Raw genomic sequence first — 27,731 nt, forward strand, 5'->3', positions numbered from 1 at the left:
AAACAAAAATGGGTATAAGAATGGGCTTTAGTAAACATCAATCCTAAATTATGTATTCCAGGCCTGTGTCTGGGACATCTCTTTTTTTAAGGGTAAATGGAATTAATTTCAAACAGCTTTTAGATGAACTGGACCCAGTGTACTCCAAACCTCCCCCATTACCAGGGTTGTTCTACCTGGGCATCAAACTCAGATACTGTGTAGCTTTTCAGTACCCTTAAAGACAAATGCTATACAAACAGCAAGAACTTGAAATGTACAACTTTTCTAAATATATAATATCAAAAACTAAATTTAAAAAGTACATACCCATATATGCTGCCCAATGGATAGCACGCCTATCTTTCTTGTCAAAAGCATTAATATTGGCACCTCTAGACAAGAGTAGTTTGACCATCTGGAATAGAAGTAAACACAGTGTCATCAAAATTGTGAAGCACAATTGTCTATGAATGTACATTTCTGACAGTTACTTATCTCAACTTCTCTGGCACTAAATTTCTGCAGTTGCTGAACAGAAGGAGCTAGACTAAATACTGAAGGTCATTTAACATAACAGGACAAAACATGAAAAAAAGGTTAACTGTGGGTGCTACTGAAGTCAGGCATCAGTACCTTTTTAGGATGCCACTTTGTGCCTTGGTATTTTATGAACTAAGTACAAATCTGGAAAGTCTAAGACTGAAATATTTAATAAGAGGTTTTGTTCCTATTCATAGTCCAAAATGTTAAAAGTGCATTCTCATTCTAGAAATGTCTTAAACTTAATTCAAACACAAACATAGTGCCTACAGTATAATTATACCTGAAGGTCAGTCACTGCATAGTCTGCTTACCTCACAATGTACCAAAAATAATAATTGCAACTAACCATATTTACAATAATTTCTCCACTGGAAGGCTACCGCAGATCTCAAATAGGGATACATCTGTAACCTTAACTGCAGTAGAGGCAAGGATTCTTTACACTGGAAAATCAGAGAAGTACAGTAGTCTCCCCTTATCTGCAGTTCCACTTTCTGCATTCAATTACCTGCTGTCAACCATAGTCTGAAAACAGGTGACTACACTACAGTTACAGTGGGATATTTTGAGAGATAGACTACATTCATGTAACTTGTATTAAAATTGTTCCATATTATTATCTCTTACTGTGCCTTAATTATAAATTAAATTTTATCATCGGTATGTATAGGAAAAAAACACAGTATCTATAGGGTTTGGTACTATCCAATGTTTCAGGCATCCATAGGGGGTCCAGGAACATATCCTCTGTAGATAAGTGGGAACTACTTTGAAAAAGACATGGCAGCCACTAGCTCCCAGCCACAGAATCTTGGGAATGTTACTTTACCTATAAGTTCCTACCCCTGCAACAAAAATGAAAGACTAGACAAGTTGGCTTCAAAGGTTCTTCTGTTACCTTCTCTAAATCTTTGGTGTACACATAAACCCCAATCTTTGCTATGACACCTAGCACAGACAACGTTTGTTGTGTAAGATAACTAAATAGCAATTTTCTTAAATTGTTTTGATGGTTCTGTCACTAAAGTATTATCTTGACTAAATGTTAATAAACTACTAAAAAGCATGTTTTCTAAATTCTGCCTTCCTTTGCTATTTACTTCTGGAAGAACAATAACATATCTCTGTCTTCACATATTTTTCCTGCCACAATAATAGAACATACTTTTCCTGTTGTGTTAAGAGTTGGTATTGTTTTCCTTGGTCACCACAGGTTAACTGTGCACAAGTAGTATCTACTACATACATTTCTAAATTTGAGAAAGTTATAAAAGGAGGCAAAATTAGACAAAAATGAGAAAGATAAATAGTTCTGTATGCCTTTACTATGCAAAAATGCAAGTTCTTTAATAAGTGGGGGGTGGACAGGAGGAGAGAAAAATAATGGTCTAATTGAATGCCACCTACCTCACCATGTCCACTGAAAGCTGCATGATGTAATGCAGTCCTCCCTGCTCGATCAGATACGTTTACATTACTCAGAAGAGGTACCAAAGCTTCAGCACACTTTACAGCTTTATTAGCAGCAGCTATATGTAAAGGGGTTTGCCAATTTTTGTCTCGAGCATTAACATCTGCAGAATGCTTCAAAAGTACCTGAACTGCTTCCTAAAACATATGAAAAGTTATAAAAGACAAATGAGTTAAGAGTTTGAGAAATTATTTCTATATATAGTGTGCGTGTGTGTGTATAAATATGTATCTACATATGAAGAAAATAAAAAAGCTCTCATAGAACTCACTATAAACAAGTAGGAATTTACCCAAGGAAAGAAAATATTTTGAATGTAAAGCGATACTGAGAGTACTCAGAGCCATATAAGATGCATCAAGATCAAACATTCCCTTTCCCTACCCTACCATTAAATGCATAAACATTCCTATCAAAATGTGCAAGAGAGCAATCATAGCTCACCGTAACTTCAAATTCCTTGGCTTAAGTGATCCTCCCACCTTTGCTTCCTGAGTAGCTAGGACTACAGGTGCATGCCACCACCCCTGGCTAATTTTTTAGTTATTTTGTAGAGACAAGGTCTTGCTATGTTGCCCAGGCTGGTCTCACACTCCTGGCCTCAAGTGATCCTCCTTCCTTGGCCTCCTGAAGTGTTGGGGTTACAAACATGAGCCAGTCATAGAGCCACACCTGGCTCTTTGAACAATTTTAAGCAATAGATTTTTTACACTGCATATATAAAAATTAAAAACATACTATTTCTCAATGTATTATACATGCTATATTTGACAAAATGAAAAATCACTAGGATCAATTTCATTAAAAAAAAAAAAAAGACACAACATAGACAAGGTTCTTTTTGCAGTGCTGCTTAGAGAGAAAGTTAAGGCAATTTAAGAGTCTACTGTCCAAGGGATTTATCTCCCAGAAGCGCATGGAAAACATCACAACACTACCTCTATAAATTGGACTCATGGCAGGATTCCAAGGAATTCAGTATGCCATCAACATTAAGCAATATAATCAGAACTAAACTCAACAAAATTTTTCTTTCAGTGATAATCCTAATTTTTGGTAAATTATCGGGGAACCTGCCCCCAATAATTCAAAGTGAGTCCTTTTCTATTTTCCCTAAGTGTCGGCTGGTCTGAGAAATAAAGGGAAAGAGTACAAAAGAGAGAAATTTTAAAGCTGGGTGTCTGGGGAGACATCACATGCCCAAGCCGCAAAACCAGCAAGTTTTTATTAGTGATTTTCAAAAGGGGAGGGAGTGTACGAATAGGGTATGAGTCACAGAGATCACATGCTTCACAAGGTAATAAAATATTACAAGGCAAATGGAGGCAGGGCGAGATCACAGGACCAGGTGAAATTAACATTGCTAATGAAGTTTTGGGCACACATTGTCATTGATAACATCTTATCAGGAGACAGGGGCCGGGCACAGTGGCGCGTGCCTGTAGTCCCAGCTACTCGGGAGGCTGAGGTGGGAGGATCGCTTGAGCCCAGGAGTTCTGGGCTGTAGTGCGCTATGCCGATCGGGTGTCCGCACTAAGTTCGGCATCAATATGGTGACCTCCCGGGAGCGGGGGACCACCAGGTTGCCTAAGGAGGGGTGAACCGGCCCAGGTCGGAAACAGAGCAGGTCAAAACTCCCGTGCTGATCAGGAGACAGAGTTTGTGAGCAGACAACTGGTCTGACCAAAATTTATGAGGTGGGAATTTCCTCTTCCTAATAGGCCTGGGAGCGCTATGGGAGACTGGGGCTTATTTCATCCCTTATCTGCAAGTGTAAAAAGACAGACGTTCCCAGAGCAGCCATTTTAGAGACCTCCCCCTAGGAATGCATTCTCTTTCTCAGGGATGTTCCTTGCTGAGAAAAAGAATTCAGCGATATTTCTCCTATTTGCTTTTGAAAGAAGATAAATATGGCTCTGTTCCGCCCGGCTCTCAGGCAGCCTGACCTAATGGTTATCTCCCTTGTTCCCTAAACATCGCTGTTATCCTGTTCTTTTTTTAAGGTGCCCGGATTTCATATCGTTCAAACAATTTGTGCAGTTAACTCAATCATCACAGGGTCCTGAGGTGATGTACATCCTCAGCTTACAAAGATGATGGGATTAAGAGATTAAAGTAAAGACAGGCATAGGAAATCACAAGAATAATGACTGGGGAAGTGATGTGTCCATGAAATCTTCACCATTTATGTTCAGAGACTGCAGTAAAGACAGGCATAAGAAATCATAAAAGTATTAATTTGGGGAACTAATAAATGTCCATGAAATCTTCACAGTTTATGTTCTTCTGCCATGGCTTCAGCCAGTCCCTCCACTTGGGGTCCCTGACTTCCCGCAACAGTAAATGAATGCCAAACTACATATGAAAATGAAAACGACCAAAACCGAAAGAGATCTGGGTTCTCATGTCAATTCTATTATTTACAAGGCATACTATTCAAGTCCTATAAAACTAACCCTAAATGTTCTTATCTGTAAAGGAGATGGGGGTGGGGGAAATAACATCTGCCTACCACTCTTTTCAAGTATGCTATAAAGCACAATAAACTAATGTACATGAAAAGTGTTAGAAAGTGAAAATAGCTATAAATATACAGAGCATCAAGGAAGACTGAACAAAATGCTATTAGCCATGAATCACCCATACCATTTTAGGCCTCTGAAATAAAAAGTAGTCAGAACAGTTTGAAACATGGGAAATAGCACCAGTACTTAACAGGGATGGCAAAAGACTGAAGAAATGCCCAGTCATCTATCGAATTGCTAAGGAAGTCAGCCAGCTAATCAAAGATATATGGAGGCCTATCACTCCACAATTCCACAACAGTGATTTATCCAAAAGATTTAAAAAATCCATCCAAGAATGCTCATAGCAGTTTTATTCCTAACCACCAAAAACCAGAAATGCAAATGTCCATCAACAGAAAAATGGATAAACAAACAGTATATCTGTACTATTACTCAGCAATGAAAATGAACCAATAATGCATGAAACATGGATAAATCTCAAAAACGTTGAACAAAAGAAGTCGTGACACAAGAATACATATTGTATGATTCCATTTTTATAAAGTTCTAGAATACGGAAATTATGCTAAGAGAAATCAGAACAGTGGTTGCCTCTGGGGACAGGGAAGACTGAAAACGGACATGAGGGAACTTGCTGGGGTAACAGAAATCTTCTATATCTTGACTGGGATAAAGGTTACACAGGTGTATACATTTGGCAAAACTTAAGGGTGTACACTAAAAAATTCATGCATTTTAATTGTAAGTTATATTTCAATTTAAAAAGGAATATGGAAAGAATACATATATGAATACTCACAAAAATTATGGAAAACAAGGTATAAACACTATCAAGATTCCTGATCCTCACCTCTGAGAACAGTACATTGTGACTTGGGGGATCTAAAACTAACACTATATTGGGAAATGTTAGTAGGTATGTTAGTGGATATAATAAATAATTTAAAATAAAATGAACAATTTGTAATTGGATAAACTGGGCAAACACAGAATACTAGAGATGTCAGCCTTGCCTTATCCACTCCCATTTTGGAATTCATAACACAAACATTAAAGCTTCTGGAAAGTTTGGGAAATACTTATGTTCCATTAGTAAAAACAGGAAAATCAATTCTACTTTTTTGTTTCACTAAAAAGCAAGAACAAATCTGGTTCACAGTAGGTAAGCGTAGGTAAGTGGGCACCTAAATAAGACAATAAACATAGCAATTAAGACACTAGAGTATCAAGACAGATCAAGGTGTGAACCCTGAATCCATTATTTCCTACTCAGAGTAATACATGTCAGATCACAGGCCTGGTGCGGTGGCTCACTTCTGTAATCCCAGCACTTTGGGAGGCCGAGGCAGGTGGATCACGAGGTCAGGAGATCAAGACCATCCTGGCTAACAGGGTGAAACCCCGTCTCTACTAAATATACAAAAATTAGCCAGGTGGGGGGGCGGGCGCCTGTAGTCCCAGCTACCTGGGAGGCTGAGGCAGGAGAATGGCATGAACCTGGGAGGCGGAGCTTGCAGTGAGCCGAGATCGCGCCATTGCACTCCAGCTTGGGCGACAGAGCGAGACTCCATCTCAAAAAAAAAAAACAAAAAACAAAAAACGTGTCAGATCACAATAGCAGTGATCTTTGAAAATTCAGAGAAAACTGAAGAAAATCCCTAAAGGTTGGAGACATTAAAAAAGAAGAGGTGAATTTCTAGAACTACAAATCAAAGAGCCTGTCATACCCTAGGATAATTCTACATCATATTATCAGTGTATCATCATAAGCACACGGAAAATAATGTGGGGATAACTAACGGCACAGATGATTTTATTAACAAAAAACATTATTATAGTAATCTAAATTCTAAATTTTCAGTTATTAGAGGGAATGTGTAAGAAATGCTGCTGGTGTGTCTTGATTTTTTTTAAAAGCTAAGTAAACATTCCATGACATTAATTCAAATGAGATTATGAAATATGGGATAATGACTGAAGGTTAAACAACTGTACTCAGAGAGTATTTATTATTACCATGGGGTCAGTATAGAAGAGGCTCCACAGTACCAGTTTTCCCCTTTGGTTCTATCCTTTTTTTTTTTTTTTTTTTTTTTTTTTTTTTTTTTTTTTTAGCAATTCTTACCATTGATTTGAAGGAAAGCACAGGAAAAACAAGGGCTTAACATATTTGCAGGTACTGCTGCCATCTCAGCTCACTGCAGCCTCCCTGCCTGATTCTCCTGCCTCAGCCTGCCGAGTGCCTGCGATTGCAGGCGCGCGCCACCACGCCTGACTGGTTTTCGTATTTTTTTGGTGGAGACGGGGTTTCGCTGTGTTGGCCGGGCTGGTCTCCAGCTCCTAACTGCGAGTGATCCGCCAGCCTCGGCCTCCCGAGGTGCCGGGATTGCAGACGGAGTCTGGTTCACTCAGTGCTCAATGGTGCCCAGGCTGGAGTGCAGTGGCGTGATCTCGGCTCGCTACAACCTCCACCTCCCAGCCACCTGCCTTGGCCTCCCAAAGTGCCAAGATTACAGCCTCTGCCCGGCCGCCACCCCGTCTGGGAAGTGAGGAGCGTCTCTGCCTGGCCGCCCATCGTCTGGGACGTGAGGAGCCCCTCTGCCTGGCTACCCAGTCTGGAAAGTGAGGAGCGTCTCTGCCCGGCCGCCATCCCATCTAGGAAGTGAGGAGCGCCTCTTCCCGGCTGCCATCCCATCTAGGAAGTGAGGAGCTTCTCTGCTCGGCCGCCCATCGTCTGAGATGTGGGGAGCGCCTCTGCCCCGCCGCCCCGTCTGGGATGTGAGAAGCGCCTCTACCTGGCCGCGACCCCGTCTGGGAGGTGAGGAGCGTCTCTGCCCAGCCGCCCCGTCTGAGAAGTGAGGAGACCCTCCGCCTGGCAACCGCCCCATATGAGAAGTGAGGAGCCCCTCCGCCCGGCAGCCACCCCGTCTGGGAAGTGAGGAGCATCTCTGCCCAGCAGCCACCCCATCCGGGAGGGAGGTGGGGGTCAGCCCCCTGCCAGGCCAGCCGCCCCGTCCGGGAGGGAGGTGGGGGGATCAGCCCCCTGCCCATGCCAGCCTGCCCGTCCGGGAGGGAGGTGGGGGTGTGAGCTTCCTGCCCGGCCAGCCGCCCCGTCCGGGAGGGAGGTGAGGGGGTCAGCCCCCCGCCCGGCCAGCCACCCGGTCCGGGAGGTGAGGGGCGCCTCTGCCCGGCCGCCCCTACTGGGAAGTGAGGAGCCCCTCTGCCCAGCCACCACCCCGTCTGGGAGGTGTACCCAACAGCTCATTGAGAACGGGCCATGATGACAATGGTGGTTTTGTGGAATAGAAAGGGGGGAAAGGCGGGGAAAGGATTGAGAAATCGGATGGTTGCCATGTCTGTGTAGAAAGAGGTAGACATGGGAGACTTTTCATTTTGTTCTGTACTAAGAAAAATTCTTCTGCCTTGTGATCCTGTTGATCGGTGACCCTACCCCCAACCCTGTGCTCTCTGAAACATGTGCTGTGTCCACTCAGGGTTAAATGGATTAAGGGTGGTGCAAGATGTGCTTTGTTAAACAGATGCTTGAAGGCAGCATGCTCGTTAAGAGTCATCACCACTCCCTAATCTCAAGTACCCAGGGACACAAACACTCTGCCTAGGAAAACCAGAGACCTTTGTTCACTTGTTTATCTGCTGACCCTCCCTCCACTATTGTCCTATGACCCTGCCAAATCCCCCTCTGTGAGAAACACCCAAGAATGATCAATAAAAAACAAACAAACAAACAAACAAAAAAAAACAAAACATATTTGCAAATAAACACAAAGCTTGGAGAGACCACACAATATCTCATGTGATAATGGAATTTAAACTCAGTTATCTTGACAGACCTAAAATGTAATTCCTGATTAGGTTAAAATATAAGTCGTATGCTCTCCAGCAGTGCAGTGTGGCTTTTTAACACACACACACACACACACACACACACACACACACACACACACACACGCACACCAAAAACAAAACCCAACTCCTAATACTCGGATATCCATTTATTCAGAAAAATATGCAGTACTTACACAGAGCTGAACTATATGCTACTCTTAAAGAATGACAGTCATAAATCATAGTAGTAGAGACAGATTGAGATAGCCAGCTAGTAGGAGGTGGTGTGGAAACTATGTCACTGAAGGAGAGTTGGGGAGTCTAGGAATATTTAACCTGAAGCAGTCTTTCTTAACCTAGTTTCAGTGAGGTAATTAAGCACTAAGGTAGTACGGTATGTGCTAAGTTAAGTTCTCTTCTATGCATCTATCACTGTGCTAGCTATTCTGTCCTTAGGAGAATTTAGAAAACAGTCACTCCAATCAGCTTGCACAGGATTTAATTCTCCCATGGTATCTCAAAAATATAAACCAAAAGCCACCTACAGGTGAAAAACCCATCTTTCTGTGGCCATAGCTATATTTTCTGTTAAATGTAATAAGTATAGCTACTTTTGCTCTCAGGACTTAATGAAAATAAGTAACGATGGTGTAAGTGATACTCTTGACACTAATGACTAGGTTTTCTAGCAGTTTTACTACTTAGGAGACCTTCTTTTCAAAAGAAAAATGATACTCAGTGTTTACAGAAGTTATATCTTTTTGGAATGGCCACATTTTATAGCTGTTTCTCATAATCCTGCAAAAGAGTATCAATACTACATAGCCTTGTAATTTTTAGTTATCTTTTTCTTTTTTTTTTAGATAGAGTTTCACTTTTGTCACCCAGGCTGGAGCGCAATGGCGCGATCTTGGCTCACTGCCACGTCTGCCTCCCAGGTTCAAGCGATCCTCCTCAGCCTCCAGAGTAGCTGAAACTACAGGCGGGCACCACCAAACCTGGCTTTTTTTTTTTTTTTGTACTTTTCATAGAGATGGGGTTTCACCATGTTGGCCAGGCTGGTCTTGAACTCCTGACCTCAGGTGATCTGCCCACCTCAGCCTCCCAAACTGCTGGGATTCCAGGCGTGAGCCACCGCGCCTGGCCAATACAGTATTTTCTTTATCCAGTCATTGACTGATGCGTATTTGGGCTGGTTCCATATTTTTACAATTGCAAATTGTGCTGCTATAAACATGTGTGTACCAGTATCTTTTTCTTATAATGACCTCTTTTTCTCTGGATTGATATCTAAGTGGTGGGATTGCTGGATCAAATGGTAGATTTAGTTCTTTAAGGAATTTCCACACTGTTTTCCATAATGGTTGTACTAGTTTACATTCCCACCGACAGTGTAAAAGTGTTCCCTTTTCATTGCATCCACACCAACATCTATTATTTTTTCATTTTTTTGACTATGGCCATTCTTGCAGGAGTAAAGTGGTATCGCTTTGTGGTTTTGATTTACATTTCCCTGATAATTAGTGATGTTATTTTTCCATGTTTGTTGGCCCTCTGTACATCTTCTTTTGACAATTGTCTATTCATGTCCTTAGCCCACTTTTTGATGGGATTGTTTTTTTCTTGCTGATTTGTTTGAGTTCCTTGTAGATTCTGGATATTACTCCTTTGTTAGGTGTATAGATTGCAAAGATTTTCTCCTACTCTGTGAGTTGTTAATGCTGCTGATTGTTTTCTTTTGCTGTGCAGAAGCTTTTCAGTTTAATTAAGTCCCATCTATTTTTTGCTTTTGGATTCTTGGTCATGACGTCTTTGCCTAAACCAATGTCTAGAAGGGTTTTTTCTGATGTTATCTTCTAGAATCTCTATGGTTTCAGGTCTTAGATTTAAGTCTTTGATCCACCTTGAGTTGATTTTTGTATAAGGTGAGAGATGATGATACAGTTTCCTTCTTCTAATGTGGCTTGCCAATTATCCCAGCCTCATTTGTTGAACAGGGTGTCCTTTCCCCACTGTTTTTGTTTGCTTTGTCAAAGATCAGTTGGCTGTAAGTATTTGGCCTTATTTCTGGGTTCTATTTCTGTTCCATTGCTCTATATATCTATTTTTATACCAGTACCATGCTGTTTTGGTGACTATGGCCTTATAGCATAGTTTGAAGTCAGGTAATGTGATGCCTCCAGATTTGGTCTTTTTGCTTAGTCTTGCTTTGGCTATGCAGGCTCCTTTTTGGTTCCATATGAATTTCAGAATTTTTTTTTTCTAATTCTGTGAAGAATGATGGTGGTATTTTGATGAGAAATGCACTGAATTTGTAGATTGCTTTTGGCAGCATGGTCATTTTTGCACCATTGATTCTACCCATCCATGAGCATGGGATATGTTTCTATTTGTGTTGTCTATGACTTTTTTCAGCCCTGTTTTGTAGTTTTCCTTGTAGGGGTCTTTCACCTCCTTGGTTAGGTATACTCCTAGCTATTTTACTGTTTTTCTGCAGCCATTGTGAAAGGGAATGAGTTCTTGATTTGATGCTCAACTTGGTCGCCATTAGTGTATAGCAGAACTACTGATTTGTGTACATTAATTTTGTATCCTGAAACTTTGCTAAATTCATTTACCAGTTCTAGGAGGTTTTGGAATGAGTCTTTAGGGTTTTCTAGGTATGCGATCATATCATCAGCAAACAGTGACAGTTTGACTTCCTCTTTACTGATTTGGATGCCCTTTATTTCATTCTCTTGTCTGATGTCTCTGGCTAGGACTTCCAGTACTATTTTGAATAGAAGTGGTGAAAGTAGGCATCCCTGTCTTGTTCTGGTTCTCAGGGGGAATGCTTTAAACTTTTCCCCATTCAGTAAAATGCTGGATGCGAGTTTGTCATAGACAGCTTCTATTACCTTAAGATATGTCCCTTCTATGCTGATGTTGCTGACAGTTTTAATCATAAAAGGATGCTGGATTTTGTCAAATGCTTTTTCTGCATCTATTGGGATGATCATGTGATATTTGTTTTTAATTCTGTTTATGTGGTGTATCACATTTACTGACTTAGGTATGTTAATAACACCATCCATGCACCCCTGGTATGAAACCCACCTGATCATGGTGGATTATCTTTTTGATATGCTGTTGGATTTGGTTTGCCAGTATTTTGTTGAGGACTTATGCATCTATGCTCATCAGGGATATTGGTCTGTGGTTTTGTTACGTCCTTCCCTGGTTTTGGTATTAGGGTGACACTGGCTTCATAGAATGATTTAGGAAGGATTGCCTCTTTTGGAAAAGTATCAATAGGACTGGTACCAATTCTTCCTCAAATGTTTGATAGAATTCAGCTGTGAATCTATCCAGTCCTGGACTTTTTATTTGCTGGCAATTTTTAAAATTATCATTTCAATCTTGCTGCTTGTTAATGGTCTGTTCAGAGATTCTATACCTTCCTAGTTTAATCTAGGAGGGTTGGATATTTCCAGGAGTTTATCCATCTCCTCTAGGTTTTCTAGTTTATGTGCGTAAAGGTGTTCACATTAGCCTTGGATAATCTTTTGTATTTCTGTAGTATCATTTGTAATATCTCCCATTTCATTTCTAATTGAGCTTATTTGGATCTTGTCTCTTCTTGGTTAATCTTGCTAATGGTCTATCAGTGTTATTTACCTTTTCAAAGCAGCAGCTTTTTGTTTCATTTATCTTTCCTTTTTTTTTTTTTGGTTTCAATTTCATTTAGTTCTGCTCTGATCTTCATTATTTCTTTTCTTCTGCTGGGTTTGGGTTTGGGTGGTTCTTGTTTCTCCAGTTCTGTGAGGTATGGCCTTAGATTGTCTATTTGTGCTCTTTCAGACTTTTTGATATAGGCATTTAATGCTATGAACTTTCCACTTAGCACTACTTTTGCTGTATCCCAGAGGTTTTGATAGGTTGTGCCACTATTATTGTTCAGTTCAAAGAATTTTTCAATTTCTATCTTGACTTCCTTGTTGACCCAACGATCACTCAGGAGCAGGTTATTTAATTTCCATATTTGCATGGTTTTGTGGCTTCCTTTTGGAGTTCATTTCCAATTTTATTCCACTGTGGTCTGAGAGAGTACTTGATATAATTTAGGTTTTCTTAAATTTACTGAGACTTGTTGTGTGGCCTATCATATGGTCTATTTTGGAGAACATTTCATGTGCTGATGAATAGAATGCATATTCTGCAGTTGTTTGGTAGACTGTTCTGTAAATATCTGTCAAGTCCATTTGTTGTAGGGCATAGTTTAGGTCCATTGTTTCTTTGTTGACTTTCTGTTTTGATGATCTGTCTAGTGCTGTTAATGGAGTATTAAAGTCCCCCACTATTATTGTGTTGCTCTCTCATTTCTTAGGTCTAGTAGTCACTGTTTTATAAATTTGGGAGCTCCAGTGTTAGGAGCATACATATTTAGAATTGTGACATTTTCCTGTTGGACTAGTCCTTTTATCATTATATAATGTCCCTCTTTGTTTTTTCCTAACTGCTGTTGCTTTAAGGTCTGTTTTGTCTGATATAAAAATAGTGATCCCTGCTCACATTTGGTGTCCATTTGCATGGAGTATCTTTTTCTACCCCTTTACTTAAGTTTCTGTGAGTCCTTACTCTTAGGTGAGTCTACTGAAGACAGCAGAAACTTGGTTGGTGAATTCTTATCCATTCTTCCATTCTGTATCCTTTAAGTAGAGCATTTAGGCCATTTACATTCAATGTTAGTATTGAGATGTGAGGTACTATTCTATTCCTCATGCTATTTGTTGCCTGAATACCTTTTTTTAAAAATCATATTATTGTTACATAGGTCTTGTAAGATTTACGGTTTAAGGAGGTTCTATTTTGGAGTATTTCAAGAATTTCTTTCAAGGTTTAGAGCTCCTTTTAGCAGTTCTTGTAGCGCTGGCTTGGTAGTGGTGAATTCTCTCAGAATTTTTGTCTGGAAAAGACTGTATACCCTCCTTCATTCATGAAGCTTAGTTTCACTGGGTACAAAATTTTTGGCAGATAATCGTTTTGTTTAAGGAGGCTAAAAATAGAACCCCAATCCCTTCTAGCTTTGTAGGGCTTCGCTGAGAAATCTGCTGTTAATCTGATAGGTGTTCCTTTATAGGTTACCTGATGCTTTTGCCTCACAGCTCTGAAGATTCTTTCCTGCATCTTGACTTTAGATAACTTGATGACTATGTACCTAGGTGATAATCTTTCTGTGATGAATTTGCCAGGTGTTCTTTGAGCTTCTTGTATTTGGATGTCCAGATCTCTTGCAAGGCTGGGAAAGTTTCCCTCAATTATTCTCTCAAATATAGTTTCCAAACTTTTAGAGTTCTCTTCTTCCTCAGGAACACCAACTATTCTCAGCTTTGGAAAATTAACATAGTCCCAAACTTCTTGGAGACTTCGTTCATTTAAAAAAAAATTTTTTTTCTTTGTCTTTGATGGATTGGGTTAATTCAAAAGCCTTGTCTTCAAGCGCTAAAGTTCTTCTGTTTGTTTGATTGTATTGCTGAGACTTTCCAGTGCATTTTGCATGTCTCTAAGTGTGACCTTGATTTCTAGAAGTTGTGACTGTTTTTACCTATTTCACTAAAGAATTTTCCTTTCATATTCTATATTATGTTTTTGTTTTTTTTTTTTTTTTTTTTGAGACGGAGTCTCGCTCTGTCGCCCAGGCCGGACTGCGGACTGCAGTGGCGCAATCTCGGCTCACTGCAAGCTCCGCTTCCCGGGTTCACGCCATTCTCCTGCCTCAGCCTCCCGAGTAGCTGGGACTACAGGCGCCCGCCACCGCGCCCGGCTAATTTTTTGTATTTTTTTAGTAGAGACGGGGTTTCACCTTGTTAGCCAGGATGGTCTCGATCTCCTGACCTCATGATCCACCCGCCTCGGCCTCCCAAAGTGCTGGGATTACAGGCGTGAGCCACCGCGCCCGGCCTATGTTTTTAATTTAAGTTGGACTTCACTTTTCTCTGGTGTCTCCTTAATTAGCTTAATAATCAATCTTCTGACTTCTTTTCCTGGCAATTCATAGACTTCATCTTGGTTTGCATCCATTGCTGGTGAGCTGGTATATTTTGGGGGTGTTAAATAACCTTGTTTTGTCATATTACCAGAATTGTTTTTCTGGTTCTTTCTCATTTGGGTAGGCTATGTCAGAGGGAAGATCTGGGATTCAAGGACTACTGTTTAAATTATTTTGTCCCACTGGGTGTTCCCTTGATGTGGTGTTCTCCCACTTCCCCTAGGAATGGGTATTCCTGAGAGCCAAACTGTAGTGATTGTTTTTGCTCTTCTGGGTCTAGTAACCCAGTGGAGCTACTAGGCTCCGGGATGGTACTGGGGAATGTCTGTAAAGAGTCCTGTGATGTGATCTGTCTTCAGGTCCTTCAGCTGTGGATACTAGCACCTGCTCCAGTGGAGGTAGCAGGGGAGTGAAGCGGACTCTGAGGGTTCTTGGTTGTGTTTCTGTTTAGTCATCTGCCTTGTAATTTTTAGACTGAAGAGTAGAATTAAGAAACTTACTAGGATTATTTGCTTTCTAACCTACAACTTGCCCTTAAATTCAGGCTGAGCACATAGTTTTTAAAAATTAGGAATTAAGTCTCTGGCAGAATTTGCTGTCTTCCTTTAATGTTAATTTTTCTTTAGTAATTTTTGGTCTGTTTTACAACTTCTGCAAATATATAAATTGTACCTTCTTATGACTTAATCTGGTAAAAATCCATTATTTTAATAGCCATAATCCCAAGAATCTTAAAACAAAATGCGTAGGTATGGCTAACATTAATATGTTCCAATAACAGTAATGTTTATCTTAACTGTTTTTATTTAAATAAACATCTTTATGGAGAGCTAACCACAAAATTAATAACATTACAATGGAATTTCAGAATTCAAAGTATTTTGGCTAGTATGTCTTAGTTTTTATAATTCCTAGACTTGTCCAACATCGCACAGCTGAAAAGTTGCACGTAATAATTGAAGCCAGTGTCTCCAAATCTAAGTTCCATAAGTTCATAAGCTATAGCACATCAAGGACCCAGTTCAGAGTTAGGTTGTGTGTTCAACTGCACCCACTGTCCCCATCCTTCTCCTAACTAGGAGGCTACAGCTAATAGATTGCCTCTGTTAATTACAGGGTTTGTAATCCTTCTCAGTCACATTTCACCTTTATGACTCTTCACTTGCCCAGCTATTGCTCTGGGTTCAAGATGTAGTTCACAATGAGGAATACAAAGGACAAAGAGACAGAAGCTCCATAGTTTCTCATGAGGCACTAGTTAGAGTTCCCTTTCCTTCTCCCAAACTACATAGTCCCATGATGGACAGAAGAAGCAGTAGCTACACTTAGGAGTTCCTTTCTTAACCTCACAATTTGAATAACTAAAGAAATACTAGATGAACATAAACTTATACTATCACATACTTTTGTATTTTAAATTATTTTTTAAGCTTTGCAACAAGTTACAACTACTGTAAAGTAGGTAAAATGGGTACTTTGGACACAATGCATTTTAGAAAAGCACCGAATACACATTATAAAGTAAAATAACAGAAAAAAAAAAAAGATGATTCAGGTTTTTGTCTCATCTCTATCATTTAACAGCTGAGTAGTTTTTCATGAATCATTAACTATATAGTTTCCTCAAGACGTCTATCCTACAAAGATGTCCTCAGGACTGAAAGATATGAGAAATATAAAAATACTGTGCAAATAATGAACATTTTCTAAAAATGTCAGTTATCTCAACAAGCAAACAATATACAAGGCTGTACACAAGAAGGAACTATTCTTCCTTGTAATCCCTCTCAAACATTTTAAAGTTATATATTTATAACCAGTAAAATGTGCAATCAAGTAATGGTTTTGAAGCTAATTTCAGTATTTAGCTAAGTAACATTTCAATTAATTATTATACACTGATGAGATTCTTTCTTGATCACAATCAGTGAAACCTTTGTAAGAGACTATTGTAAATAGGTAGAGAAAAGCCCTGAGGAAGAATATATAGGACAGAAAAATGATTTCTCTTGTAGAAGGGACAGAGATAGGGTTTTCTATTCTCTGCTACTTCAGACTGCAAGAGGCCTTATAAACAAAAGAAGAAATGAAACAATTAACTTGGTTTGTACAAATTCTAAAGTAAAATGACCAGTCAAGGTATCTCAGTAGCTTTTCCTTCTTTTGAAAACATAGAATTTGAATATGGATTCAGGGGTACGCCTATTTAATGTTTTCATATAAAACATATTTACTAAGAGAAATTTCATACCTCACTACAAGATGCAACTGCTCTGTGTAAAGGTGTCAACCATTTGCTGTCTTTGGCATTAACTCTAGCTCCTGCAACAAGAAGAAAAAAATAAATTGAAATATTGTACATAAAATATTTTTAATAAATCTCCTGAAATAGTAGTTATATATAATCCAAATTGGATAAATGACAATTGAAAAAAAACTTATTTTTTACACTTTCTGCTGATAAAATTACCCTTAGAATATAAAACAAAATTAGCCTTTTAAATTGATATAATTGTCCAATAAAGTCTTAGTTTTTTAATTTAAAACAAAATAAACATCATTTTATATATAGGTTAGAAAAGCCACCTTTATACAGAGCATATCCAAGGTAGAAATCAGACCCCATTTTAGAATGTGTGTTAAAAAAATCAAATAAATGAATATAAGAATATACTTGGAGATAAAATGCAGACTATTTTAAAGTCTTCATTACATTTCTTTACTAATGAATATATCACGCCATAAGGTAATATGATAACATCAAAATAGTTCTCCAGCCATGATTTAAAACACATTGTATAAGATAGAAACAATGGTTACAGATTTAGAAAAATAATTGAGAAAGAAATGAACCAACTCATGTCTTTCTAGGTTATACCTAAAGCTTAAGAAAGAAATTTTTTTAAACAAATCAATTTTGTACAGTTGTTTAAAAATCATTAAGTCAATGGACAAAAATTAACCTTAATAGAATGCAAACACATTAAGACAAAAAAATTTACATTATTCGAGGAGGGAATAATTTATCTCCCATATTAAATCCAAATCAAATAAAAGCAGCACATGCATGGTAGGATAATTCTATTAATATATCTAAGTAGAGAAGAAACAGCCCTGGTTCTTGGAAGTATAGAACTGGCTGACAGATCCTATCCTATAAGCAATCCTAGATTTATATCCCAAATCCTAAATCACTCATTTTCTAAATGATGAAATACAGGTATACAAAATAACCTAACGTTGGGGTCAACTATAACAGAAACAAAGCTTCATACTTCCTAACGCTTACATTATTTCTAGGTTTTGAGTGTGAGGAGTCAGGGAATAATCAAGTGCAGTGACTTCAAGTAATGCCTTCAATTAGTAGCTCTGGGTCCCTAAGTAGTTGTGTGATCCCTCTGAACCCAAGTTTCTTCACAAAGATTAACATATAATAAATGTGCCTAGTACATAATAGCAAATATGTTAGAGGTAGACTTTAAAGCCTTGAAAAATGAGAGAAAATAAATGAAATGGAGGTGTAAGAAACATCCACAAATGTAGTAGTTGAGATGCTGAGAGTAGCTGAGTTCTCTGTGGGCAGTGGCAGTGAGGACACAAAGAATCAAGAGCTAATTAGAGAGCTTTGAACAATGCTCACAGTTAGGCTATGGAAGAAGGAAAGGAAGACAGCAAATAAAGAACCAGTCAGAGAGCATGACATACCCATGTAATAAATATTTGGGCAACTATCTGCCAGGCACTGTGGAACCCTAGATGGTTAAAACACAAACTGCCTAATCACAGTAATGCCAACGTTTGTTTTGGGTAGAAGACGGAATGTACAAAGTACACACATTTGAAATGTTTGCCAGCTGGAAGCTGGAACCCTACAGATAGTGAAGGAGTGACACAGAAGCTAGCGTCTTTCGTTTTCCCACTTATCTGCTTAGGACTTCAATGGTTCTCTTTAAGCCCTGTGCCTCTTTCTACAGGTTTATATTTATGTGCACATGCATATCTATACACAGTAGAACGGAAAGCTCTGGCAGTAAGGCCCAAAGGGTATCAACACAGACACCTAGTACAGACAGTATCCTGAATCAACAAAGGTAAATAAGAAATGAGGTCTCATGAGGGATGCTGAGAAGTCTGATTCAAAGTATTAATTAGCAGGAGAATAGAAGGGCACAGGGGCTCATGACTGTAATCCTAGCACTTTTGGGAGGCTGAGGTGGGCAGATTGCTTGAAGACAGGAGTTCAAGACCAGCCTGGCCAACATGGTGAAACCCTGCCTCTACTAAAAATACAAAAATTAGCCAGATGTGGTGGCCCGCGTGCACCTGTAAGTCTAATTACTCAGAGGCTGAGGCAGGAATCACTTGAACCCGGGAGGAAGAGGTTGCAGTGAGCCGAGATTGCACCACACACTCCAGCCTGGGCAAGATAGTGAGACTCTGTCTCAAAAAACAGAAGGTGGCTGGCACAAAAAACTGAGGAGACTCTGTGTTAATAAAGATCTGAAAACAAAAAGTAAAAAAGCAGTAATTGTATGACTAGTACGCTTTACTTTTATGTAGAAAAAGGAAGAGATAATTATTTTTATCTTATCACACAATGGTCCCCCCTTGTTTCACTTTTCACAGCTTGTTACCCAGTCAACCATGGTCTGAAAATATTAAAGGGAAAATTCCAGAAATAAATAATTCATAAATTTTAAATTGCTCACTGTTCTGAGTAACATGATGAAATATGGCACCATCCTGCTCCATCCACCCAGGATGTGAATCATCCCTTTGTCCATCGTATCTTGCATATGCCATTCACCCTTTCCTTATGGGACCCTCTTGATTATCAGATTGACTATCATGGTATCATAATGCTTGTGTTCAAGTAACCCTTACGTTACTTAATAATGGCCCCAAGGTGCAAGAGTAGTGATGCTGGAAATTTGAGTATGCCAAAAGAAGCAGTAAAATGCTTCCTTTAAGTGAAAAGATGTAAGTTCTCAATAAAAAAAAAATCATGCTGAGGTTGCTAAGATCTACAGTAAGAACAAATCTTCTACCTGAAATTCTGAAGAGGGAAAAAGAAACTTGTGCATAGTATATAGGGTTCAGTACTATCTGAGGTTTCAGGCATCTACTTGGGGGTCTTGGAACATACCTCTTCAAAAGGGGGTACTACTGTATTTGCTTAATATGCATAAAGAAACCCTACAGGAATGCTAAGATATTAATGAGAGGGGGTGCTTATACGTTTGTGTTGGTGGTGGGAGGCACATTGAAAACTGGGCATATGGAGGTACTAGGGTAGTAATGCAACTTTATATTATACCTTTAAATATGTATATATCGGCCGGGTGCAGTGGCTCACGCCTGTAATCCCAGTACTTTGGGAGACCAAGGCGGGCAAATCACCTGAGGTCAGGAGTTCAAGACCAGTCTGGCCAACATGGTGAAACCCAGGCCCTACTAAAATTACAAAAAAAAATTAGCTAGGCACAGCGGTGGGCGCCTGCAATCCAAGCTTCCAAGCTACTCGGGAGGCTGAGGCAGGACAATCACTTGAACCTGGGAGGTGGAGGTTGCAGTGAGCCTAGACCGTGCCATTGCACTCCAGCCTGGGCAACAAGAGCAAAACTCCGTCTCAAAAAGAAAAAAAATAATAAAAAATAAAAAAAATCATGCATTTCTTCTAAGAGCCTAATCAAATGTTTTTAATTCCTTGGAAAATAAAGGTCAACTATATGAGAAATCAGGGCTATATCTGAGGGCAACAATGAAACAATATTCCCCCACCAACATTAGTTAACATGTGATTTACAATATAAACAGATAAATATGACACAGTAATGTACACTACAAGAGCAGCAGTTGGCTGTGTTCCTGTAAAATGAAAAAGAGTGTAAAAGCAACAAACATAGCAGCACATTTCAGATGGTTCAGATTCCCAGAGCTCATGTCAGTGGGCTGTCTAAAGCTAAATAGAGTTCTGTTCCACACAGAATACTCCAAAGTTATCTATATATTCATATATACTTTAAACGACAAATTCATTCTAGAAATGGAAAAGACATTTCCAGAATATAGTTAACTAGTTCAATAGCTAGTTGGAGTATTAAACACCAGCCACAACAGCTAATAATGAGGATGGAGATACAGGGGAGGCAGGGAGAAACCATACCCACTTAAAACAAAAAACAGTCTTTGTAGAGAGAAATAAAACCAAATGTCGTTAACCGCCTCTGGTGGCATAATCACATGCCCTCTACATGGTAGAAGATAGTATTTGTGGTTTATAAGGATGACCTTAAGTAACCAACAGAAGATTAATTTCTTTACTATTTCCTACTCATTAAGACAGAAAAGAATATAAAACAGCAGTCCCTTGTCATTTGTTGAAGTTAGGTTACTGGCATAGCCTGTGGTGCGAAAAAGCACTGCTAAGAAACAAAAGACAACACACATAGCAATTTAAGAAAGATACCATCAGTGAGTACTATAAACCAATATTTACAGAAAACTTACATGCCAGAAGCACCTCATTAAATTCAAAATGGTTATGTCCAACTGTATAATCAATATTTTAACAAGTCTTTTCTTGTCCCCCACAAATCTATGCATACCAACTGAACTTTCCCTTCAGATAAACGGCCAGAGCCTATCCTCACACATATATCTGAATTTAGATTCACCTTTCTAGAGTAGAGATGTGACTGAGTTTCTGATATTACATGCAATAAATAACACAACTAAAAATCAACTGCAGGATCACCTAAACAGGTTGTATCCATTTCATACCACAGTTATAGATTATATAGGAAAACCCAGCTAATCAGTTTCCTCTCACCCAATCTTTACACGTAATATTTCACCCATATAAAAGTGCACTCTGAAACAATAGTTTTGTAAAAGAAAAGGTTACCTAAATCTAGAATTAAATGTCTAGCTATTCGGAAATAAAACATAAATTCAAAAACAAAAACTTGATTTACTTACTTACATTAGTCTAGGGCTCTAGGCAGCCAGCAATGCAGCTGAAGAGAGGTCTAACGTTGTGAAGACACAGTCATGGGTTAGTGGAAGGAACACTGGAGCAGGAGAGATACGTGATCTCATAATGGCTGTATAACTAGTTGGCTGTGTGACCTGGAAGTGTTTCCTGGGGCCTGGGTCTTCATTTTGCAAATCATAATCCCTGCTCCTAGGCTGTGTGTGTGGTGAGGTGAGGGGGAGGTGGATATGAATATGTATGGACAGGATTGGGTGAGGATGGGCCCCAGATTTAAACAACAAAGGGCACTCTTTCTGCGAAGTTCTACAGTCAGCAATTCTATTAGGAGTATCCCATTTGACTCCAGATTTCATTCTGCAAGACAACTGATTGACTTATTTTCTCCTAATCTAATTGGTCACTAAATTCTTCCAATTCTTTGATTTTTGAACCTCAATTACAGCTGACCCTTAAACAACACTGGTTCAAACTGCATGAGTCCACTTATATGTAGATTTTCTTCCATCTCTGCAACCCCAGACAGCAAGCCCTCCACTTCCTCTTCACCTTATTCAATGTGAAGATGACAAGGATGAAGATGTTTATGATGATCTGCGTCCATTCAATACACAGTGTTTTCTCTTTATGATTTTCTTAGTATTTTCATTTTATTGCTTATTTTATTGTAAGAATACAGTATATAATACATATAACATGTAAAATATGTGTTAACTGTTTATGTTATTAGTAAGGCTTTTGGTCAACATTAGGCTATTAGTAGTTTTTAGGGAGCCAAAGGTTATATTCAAAGTTCCTATTGTGTTGGGGTTGGGGGAGTCAGTGCCCCTAACCTCCACATTGTTCAAGGGTCAACTATACCTGTAAAATAAAGCATTGTGCTAAATCATCCTTATGATCCATTTCCAGTTATAACGTTCTATCCTATTTTGGAATATTCAGAATAAATTATGTCATACTTATTAAACCTTGTCAAATGGTCTGAATGTTTGCGTTCCCCCAAAATTTATGTTAAAATCCCAACCCCAATGTCATGGTATTAGGAGGCGAGGTCTTTTGTGAGGTAATTGGGTCATGAAGGCAGTGAATGGGATTAATGCCCTTGTAAAAGTGGCCCAAGAGCGCTCCCTCACCCTTTCCACCATATGAGGTTATACTAAAAAGACTGCTGGCTATAAATAAGAAGTGGGCCCTCACCAGATACCAAATCTTCTGGCATCACGATCTTCCCAGGCCCCAGAACTGAGAAAAATTTTTAAGTCACTCAGTCTGTGATATTCTGTTATGGCAGCCCGAAAGGACTAAGACACCTCACTCTAACATTAAAAAGATCTATGTTAGGGGTCTTCAAACTACTATCCACAGGCTTCAAGCCACCTAATTTGTAAAGTTTTACTGGAACAGAGCCACATCTATTCAATTTAAATATTAAATATGTAGCTTTCACTATGACAACAGAGTTGAATGGCCTGTAACTTGTATCTTGCCAGAGTCTGTATGGCCTGTAACTAGTATCTGGCCCTTTACAGAAAACGTTAGCCAACCTCTGATCTAGGCTAAGAACTTGATAGTAGGTACTATTAAAGTTATTGCTAACTTTATACATGTTTGTAATAATTATAAATAGTCTCACAAATCATTTTCCAAAACTTCTATTTGCAGAGAATTGTTTTCTTCCTTGCTCCTAAATCACAGAGGAGATAGTCCATAACCAGTGAGCTGGGCCAGAAGCTAAGTACTTTTATCCCTCTTCCCAAACTGGAAATAATGCTTTTCTTTGGCTACCTAACAGTGCAGTGGCAAAAGGTTCAGATTCGGTTTTCAGGCTCAGAGTAGAATGAGCAAAAACCAATGACATTTCCACTTTTCCAACTATAATGCTGAAAAAAATAGCTGCTGCACTGTATCTTTTAAGAGTGTTGTGGATACCAGCTATTGTGGGTTTGTTCAACTCCCAACCCCTGGCAACTCAGAATATGACTTTAACTGGAGATAGACTCTTTACAGAGGTAATTAAAATGAGGTCATTAGGGTGGGCCCTAATACAGTATGACTGGTGTCCTTACAAGAAGAAATTTGCAAAAAGACATGGACAGAGGGAAAATAAAGGGAGAAGACAGCGATTTTGCAAGCCAGAGAGAGATACCCTGAACAGATCCTTCCCTCTCAGCCTTCCAAAGGAATCAATCCTGACGGCACCTTGATCTCAGACTTACAGCCTCCAGAACTTTGAGTAAATAAATTTCTATTGTTTAAGCCGCCCAGTTTGTAGTACTTTGTTACAGCAGCCCCACCAAACTAATGTACCAGCACTGAAGTAAAAAGAAGAGACACATACTTTAGGTTTCATTCTTAATGCCAGAAACATCAGAACGGTGTTTTCTAGTAAGGAGAGTATTTTTTATAAAAGGCCAATCGAATGAATTTTTGACAAATGCCTTCCACAATGCAGTCATTTAAGGACTTAATACTTACTGGAGGCAGTCTAAGGTCTGAGGTACTGCTAACCATATAGTTTTGAATGCAAGCATTAAGTGAATAAGCTCCCAAACAAAATATCTATACCTCAGTGGCCAGCAAATAGTCTTTAAAAGTTCTTCAATAAAAGTGACTTCACATGTAAATTTTACTAAAAGCTAAATAGGTGGTTGGGGGAGGAGGGTGGAAATTATGGTGGGAAGAAAAAAGGAAGATTCTGATTACGGCAGGATTAAGAACACGGATTCTGTAGTCAAACTGCCTGGATCTGAATTCTGCCTCTAGCTTTTACTAGCAGTATAAAAACTTTGAAAGTTTAAAAGCTAAATGTCTTAGTTTCCTTATATAATACCTTCACAAATTTAGGCTAAAATGAGATTAGTGAAATGGCTAAATTTAACAGTATTTAAAATGTAATAAGCTCACTGTTTGCTATTATTTCACCCCATTCCATAATAATTATTAACATTAATTCCAGTGGACTCTAGTATTACTATAGATTCTATGGATGTATTCACTTGTTTGATTACAGGTGCCACGCCAAAAATTATACCTCTCATCCACAAATCTTAGAGTTGCATCATGTACAAATACTTGGTTTCTGAAGAATTCTGGACTGCAAGTTAAAGAAAGTGAGTAGTTTTACTCTAAAACAAGTCACCAAAATATAAAAGAGAATGAGAAGAGATACCATCTTCAATACAATAAGGAAACAGTTACAACCACAAACCAAACTATGAATTATTTCTATCAATAACAGTGAAATGTGTACCAAACTGAAGGACACTGAGTCAAGCGAAGCTTCTTCAGATCTTGGGAAGGTTACCGAGTCCTCTAAAAAGTCATGTTTGCATGTGTGTCCCATTTGCTCCTTTCTCTCTGCTGTGTCCTAAAATCCCTAAAAATCTTTCAGACGATCTAGAGCTGTCTGGGTAATTCACAGGAAAAGCACCTACAGAACTCTTAACCTCACACTGCATAAGAATAAAGTGGGGCAGTGCTAAAAAAGAGACCAAGAAGGCATCTTTATTAATTTTTTACCCAGCTGGAGATGAGGGAGAGTAACAGCCAATCACCAGCAGATTACTATCTAAGAACTCATTGATCTAAGAAGCTGCTGAGCCAGCCCAACTACCTGTGGTATATCAACAAAAAAAGGAAACTAAATGATGAGAACATATGGACACACAGAGGGACACAACACACACTGGGGCCTATCAGAGGGTGGACGATAAGAGGAGAGAGAGGTTCAGGAAAAATAATGGGAACTAGGCTTAATATATGGATGATGAAATAATCTGTACAACAAACCCACATGACTTAACTTTACCTATATAACACACCTGCGCATGTACTCCTGAACTTAAAATTTGGTTACTTAAGTTTACCTATATAACACACCTGTGCATGTACTCCTGAACTTAAAATTTGGTTTGAGAGTTATTTGAAGAAACAAACCTAACAGATGTTCACTTTTTGCCCCTTCCTTTCTGTTCTGCAAAGAGGCATATTCCTCGAAGATACGTAAGAATCTGAAAGCATCCAGCACAGGACTAGGATAAAAATATACAGAGTAGAGTAAACTAGGAGAAATGCAGTTGGAAAAAACCATCCCAGAAAATAAGATGAATTCATGAGCTACTCTATATACTCAACTTCACTGAATTTAAGTTCTGAAGAGGAGACCTCAAAGAAAAGTTACAAGAAAGAGATAAGACAATGTAGAGAGACTATGAGAGCTAGCTGAGTTTGGGGAAAAAAGGAAAACTATTAAAGATAAAAACCTAGAAATAACAAAAAGTAGGATAAACATGACTTAAAATGGTCAAGAATTTGAAGCCAAAGCCAGAGAATCAATCTTTAAAAACATAAGTCAGAGCATGTTATTCCACTCCAAACAGAACTCTCCATTGGTTTTCCACATCACTTAAAGGGCCAAGGCAACACAAAAGAGTGAAACCAATTGGAGAAAATATAAATATCCTTATTTCCTAATTTTTAATCACAAGTCAGACATAATAAAAACCTGAAATATGAACACAGAAGGAAATGACTCTAAAATAATCTCAATCTTTCTATTTTTTTATGTTAGAGAAATATATTTAGAGAATATAGAACTCTTGCTATGGATATCGCAGTAGTTTTTAAAATACAAAATTACAGTAACTGACTATTGTATGTTCTTATGAAAACATATGACTTTAATGCAATCTTACACGACTTTTATACAAATAAGCATTATTTCATATTGCTTAATTTACTTAAGATTATACCTACCTGCTACTAAAATGTGGTGTTGGTAATTAACATGAAGTGTAAACACCTACACTAAATTTTCATTACTAACTATAAACAAATTAGCCTAATTTTGTTGCCTATATTTCTCTTCATGTATTTTTTTCTCATCTTTACCTAGAGAATTGATCAGATCAAATATCTAGTTTCAATTCTAATTTATAACTCAACTTACCATAATTCATTAAAAGGCTGTTTTGATGGATCCAGAATTTAAAATTAGGGTTATAGAAATCAGTCAGTTTAACTTGGGCCTCAGCAACCATGGCATTCAAACCAAATTTAAGCAGAACTCCTGGAGCATCTATACAGAACCTTATGAGTCTATATACTATATATTGTCTGAAGACTATTCTTCTGATATTTATTCTGAACTAAAATTTGGATACGATTAGTCTTTTACTACCCTGCTATTCTGGAAATCTATTTCCAATATAAAAGTAAGAATTCACTGGTTAGCTTATACTTGACTTCTAAAATGTGTAGTATATCTTCTGTAAAACTGTCCTAATCAACTTTCAATTTAAAGAGTTAATAGGAATTTAAAATGGATATAACATGAATGAACTGAAGAAATATCCACCAATCAAAATTCCTTCCTGATCAGGTTTCTGGTTCAGATTTCAAAATCTCTCCTGGGCTGGGCATGGTGGCTCACAGCTGTAATCCCAGCACTTTGGGAGGCCGTGGTGGGTGGATCACCTGGGGTCAGGAGTTCGAGACCAGCCTGGCCAACATGGTGAAACCCCATCTCTACTAAAAATACAAAAATTAGTTGGGCCTGGTGATGCATGCCTGTAATCCCAGCTACTCAGGAGGCTGAGGCAGGAGAATCATTTGAACCTGGTAGGTGGAGGTTGCAGTAAACCGAGAGATGGTGCCACTGCCCTCCAGCCTGGGTAACAGAGCAAGACTATGTCTTTAAAAAAAAAAAAAAAAAAAAAAAAACAAAACAAAAAAAAAAAAACTCTCCTGGTTCCTTCCTCATTTATGTGAAAGGATATTTTTATAAAAGGCTATGGGAGTTATCCTCTATAGTGTCAACTTTCGTAAGTTAAATACACATCCTGATTACTACCTATCTTTTTGTTAGAGCTCTGTTATCCATAAATTACAGGAGCCCTTACTATTTCCTCAGGGGAGCAAATACCTACCCTGTTCAGGAAGGTACTTATATCATATTAAAGCTTTAAAGGCTGTTTCTTGATTGTAGAATTTAAAACATATAAATACACTTCTCCAGAGTATATAGAGTCTATTTTTTTTCAACCTTTGTCTTTCTAGATTGTGGAAATAAATTATTTTTCATTTTCCCCCAGTAGGTAAGTCATTCCTTCCTCTTTATCATTTCAGAACGTAATAACTGGACTTCAAAACTGACAGCGGAGAATTTTTAAGAAAGCATATCTAAAAGTCACAGAGAAGATAATTCCTGATATCAAGGAATTTATTTACTTGGCAGAACCAAAAAAGTGAAGGAAAAAATAGAAATGCTCCTTAAAAAAAAATAGCCATAATTTTGAATACTATATGCCAGGGACTTTTCTAGGTATCTTAATGACATAA

General features: G+C 38.5%; 1 protein-coding gene, 1 long non-coding RNA gene and 1 pseudogene across 35 annotated transcripts in view; 2 read left to right on the forward strand and 1 right to left on the reverse strand.

Annotated features, from left to right (window-relative positions):
• The window catches only part of ANKRD28 (ankyrin repeat domain 28), a 192,579-nt gene that overhangs the window by 67,865 nt on the left and 96,983 nt on the right, over window positions 1-27,731 (reverse strand). For 18 of the 34 annotated variants that reach the window (XR_007095653.1, NR_146112.2, XR_007095652.1 and 15 more), the window contains 3 exons: window positions 16,650-16,720; window positions 1,933-2,133; window positions 310-397 (listed from right to left, as the gene is read on the reverse strand). Coding sequence is in view for 30 of the 34 variants with exons in the window: in XM_011533542.4 (XP_011531844.1) it covers window positions 310-397; window positions 1,933-2,133; window positions 16,650-16,720 (360 nt within the window). In the remaining 4 variants the exon portion in view is untranslated. Of the gene's footprint in view, window positions 1-309; window positions 398-1,932; window positions 2,134-16,649; window positions 16,721-21,379; window positions 21,448-27,731 lie in introns of those variants that run through there. The other 16 variants (NR_146111.1, XM_047447807.1, XM_024453422.2 and 13 more) reach the window with 4 other exon arrangements.
• RN7SL4P (RNA, 7SL, cytoplasmic 4, pseudogene) lies at window positions 3,415-3,686 on the forward strand (annotated as a pseudogene).
• LOC101927647 (uncharacterized) lies at window positions 4,281-27,086 on the forward strand. Its single transcript, XR_001740422.2, has 2 exons — window positions 4,281-5,163; window positions 23,055-27,086. It is a non-coding gene; the product is annotated as an uncharacterized LOC101927647 (long non-coding RNA).

This window comes from Homo sapiens, chromosome 3 (genome assembly GCF_000001405.40).
Source record: "Homo sapiens chromosome 3, GRCh38.p14 Primary Assembly".
NCBI lineage: Eukaryota > Metazoa > Chordata > Mammalia > Primates > Hominidae > Homo > Homo sapiens.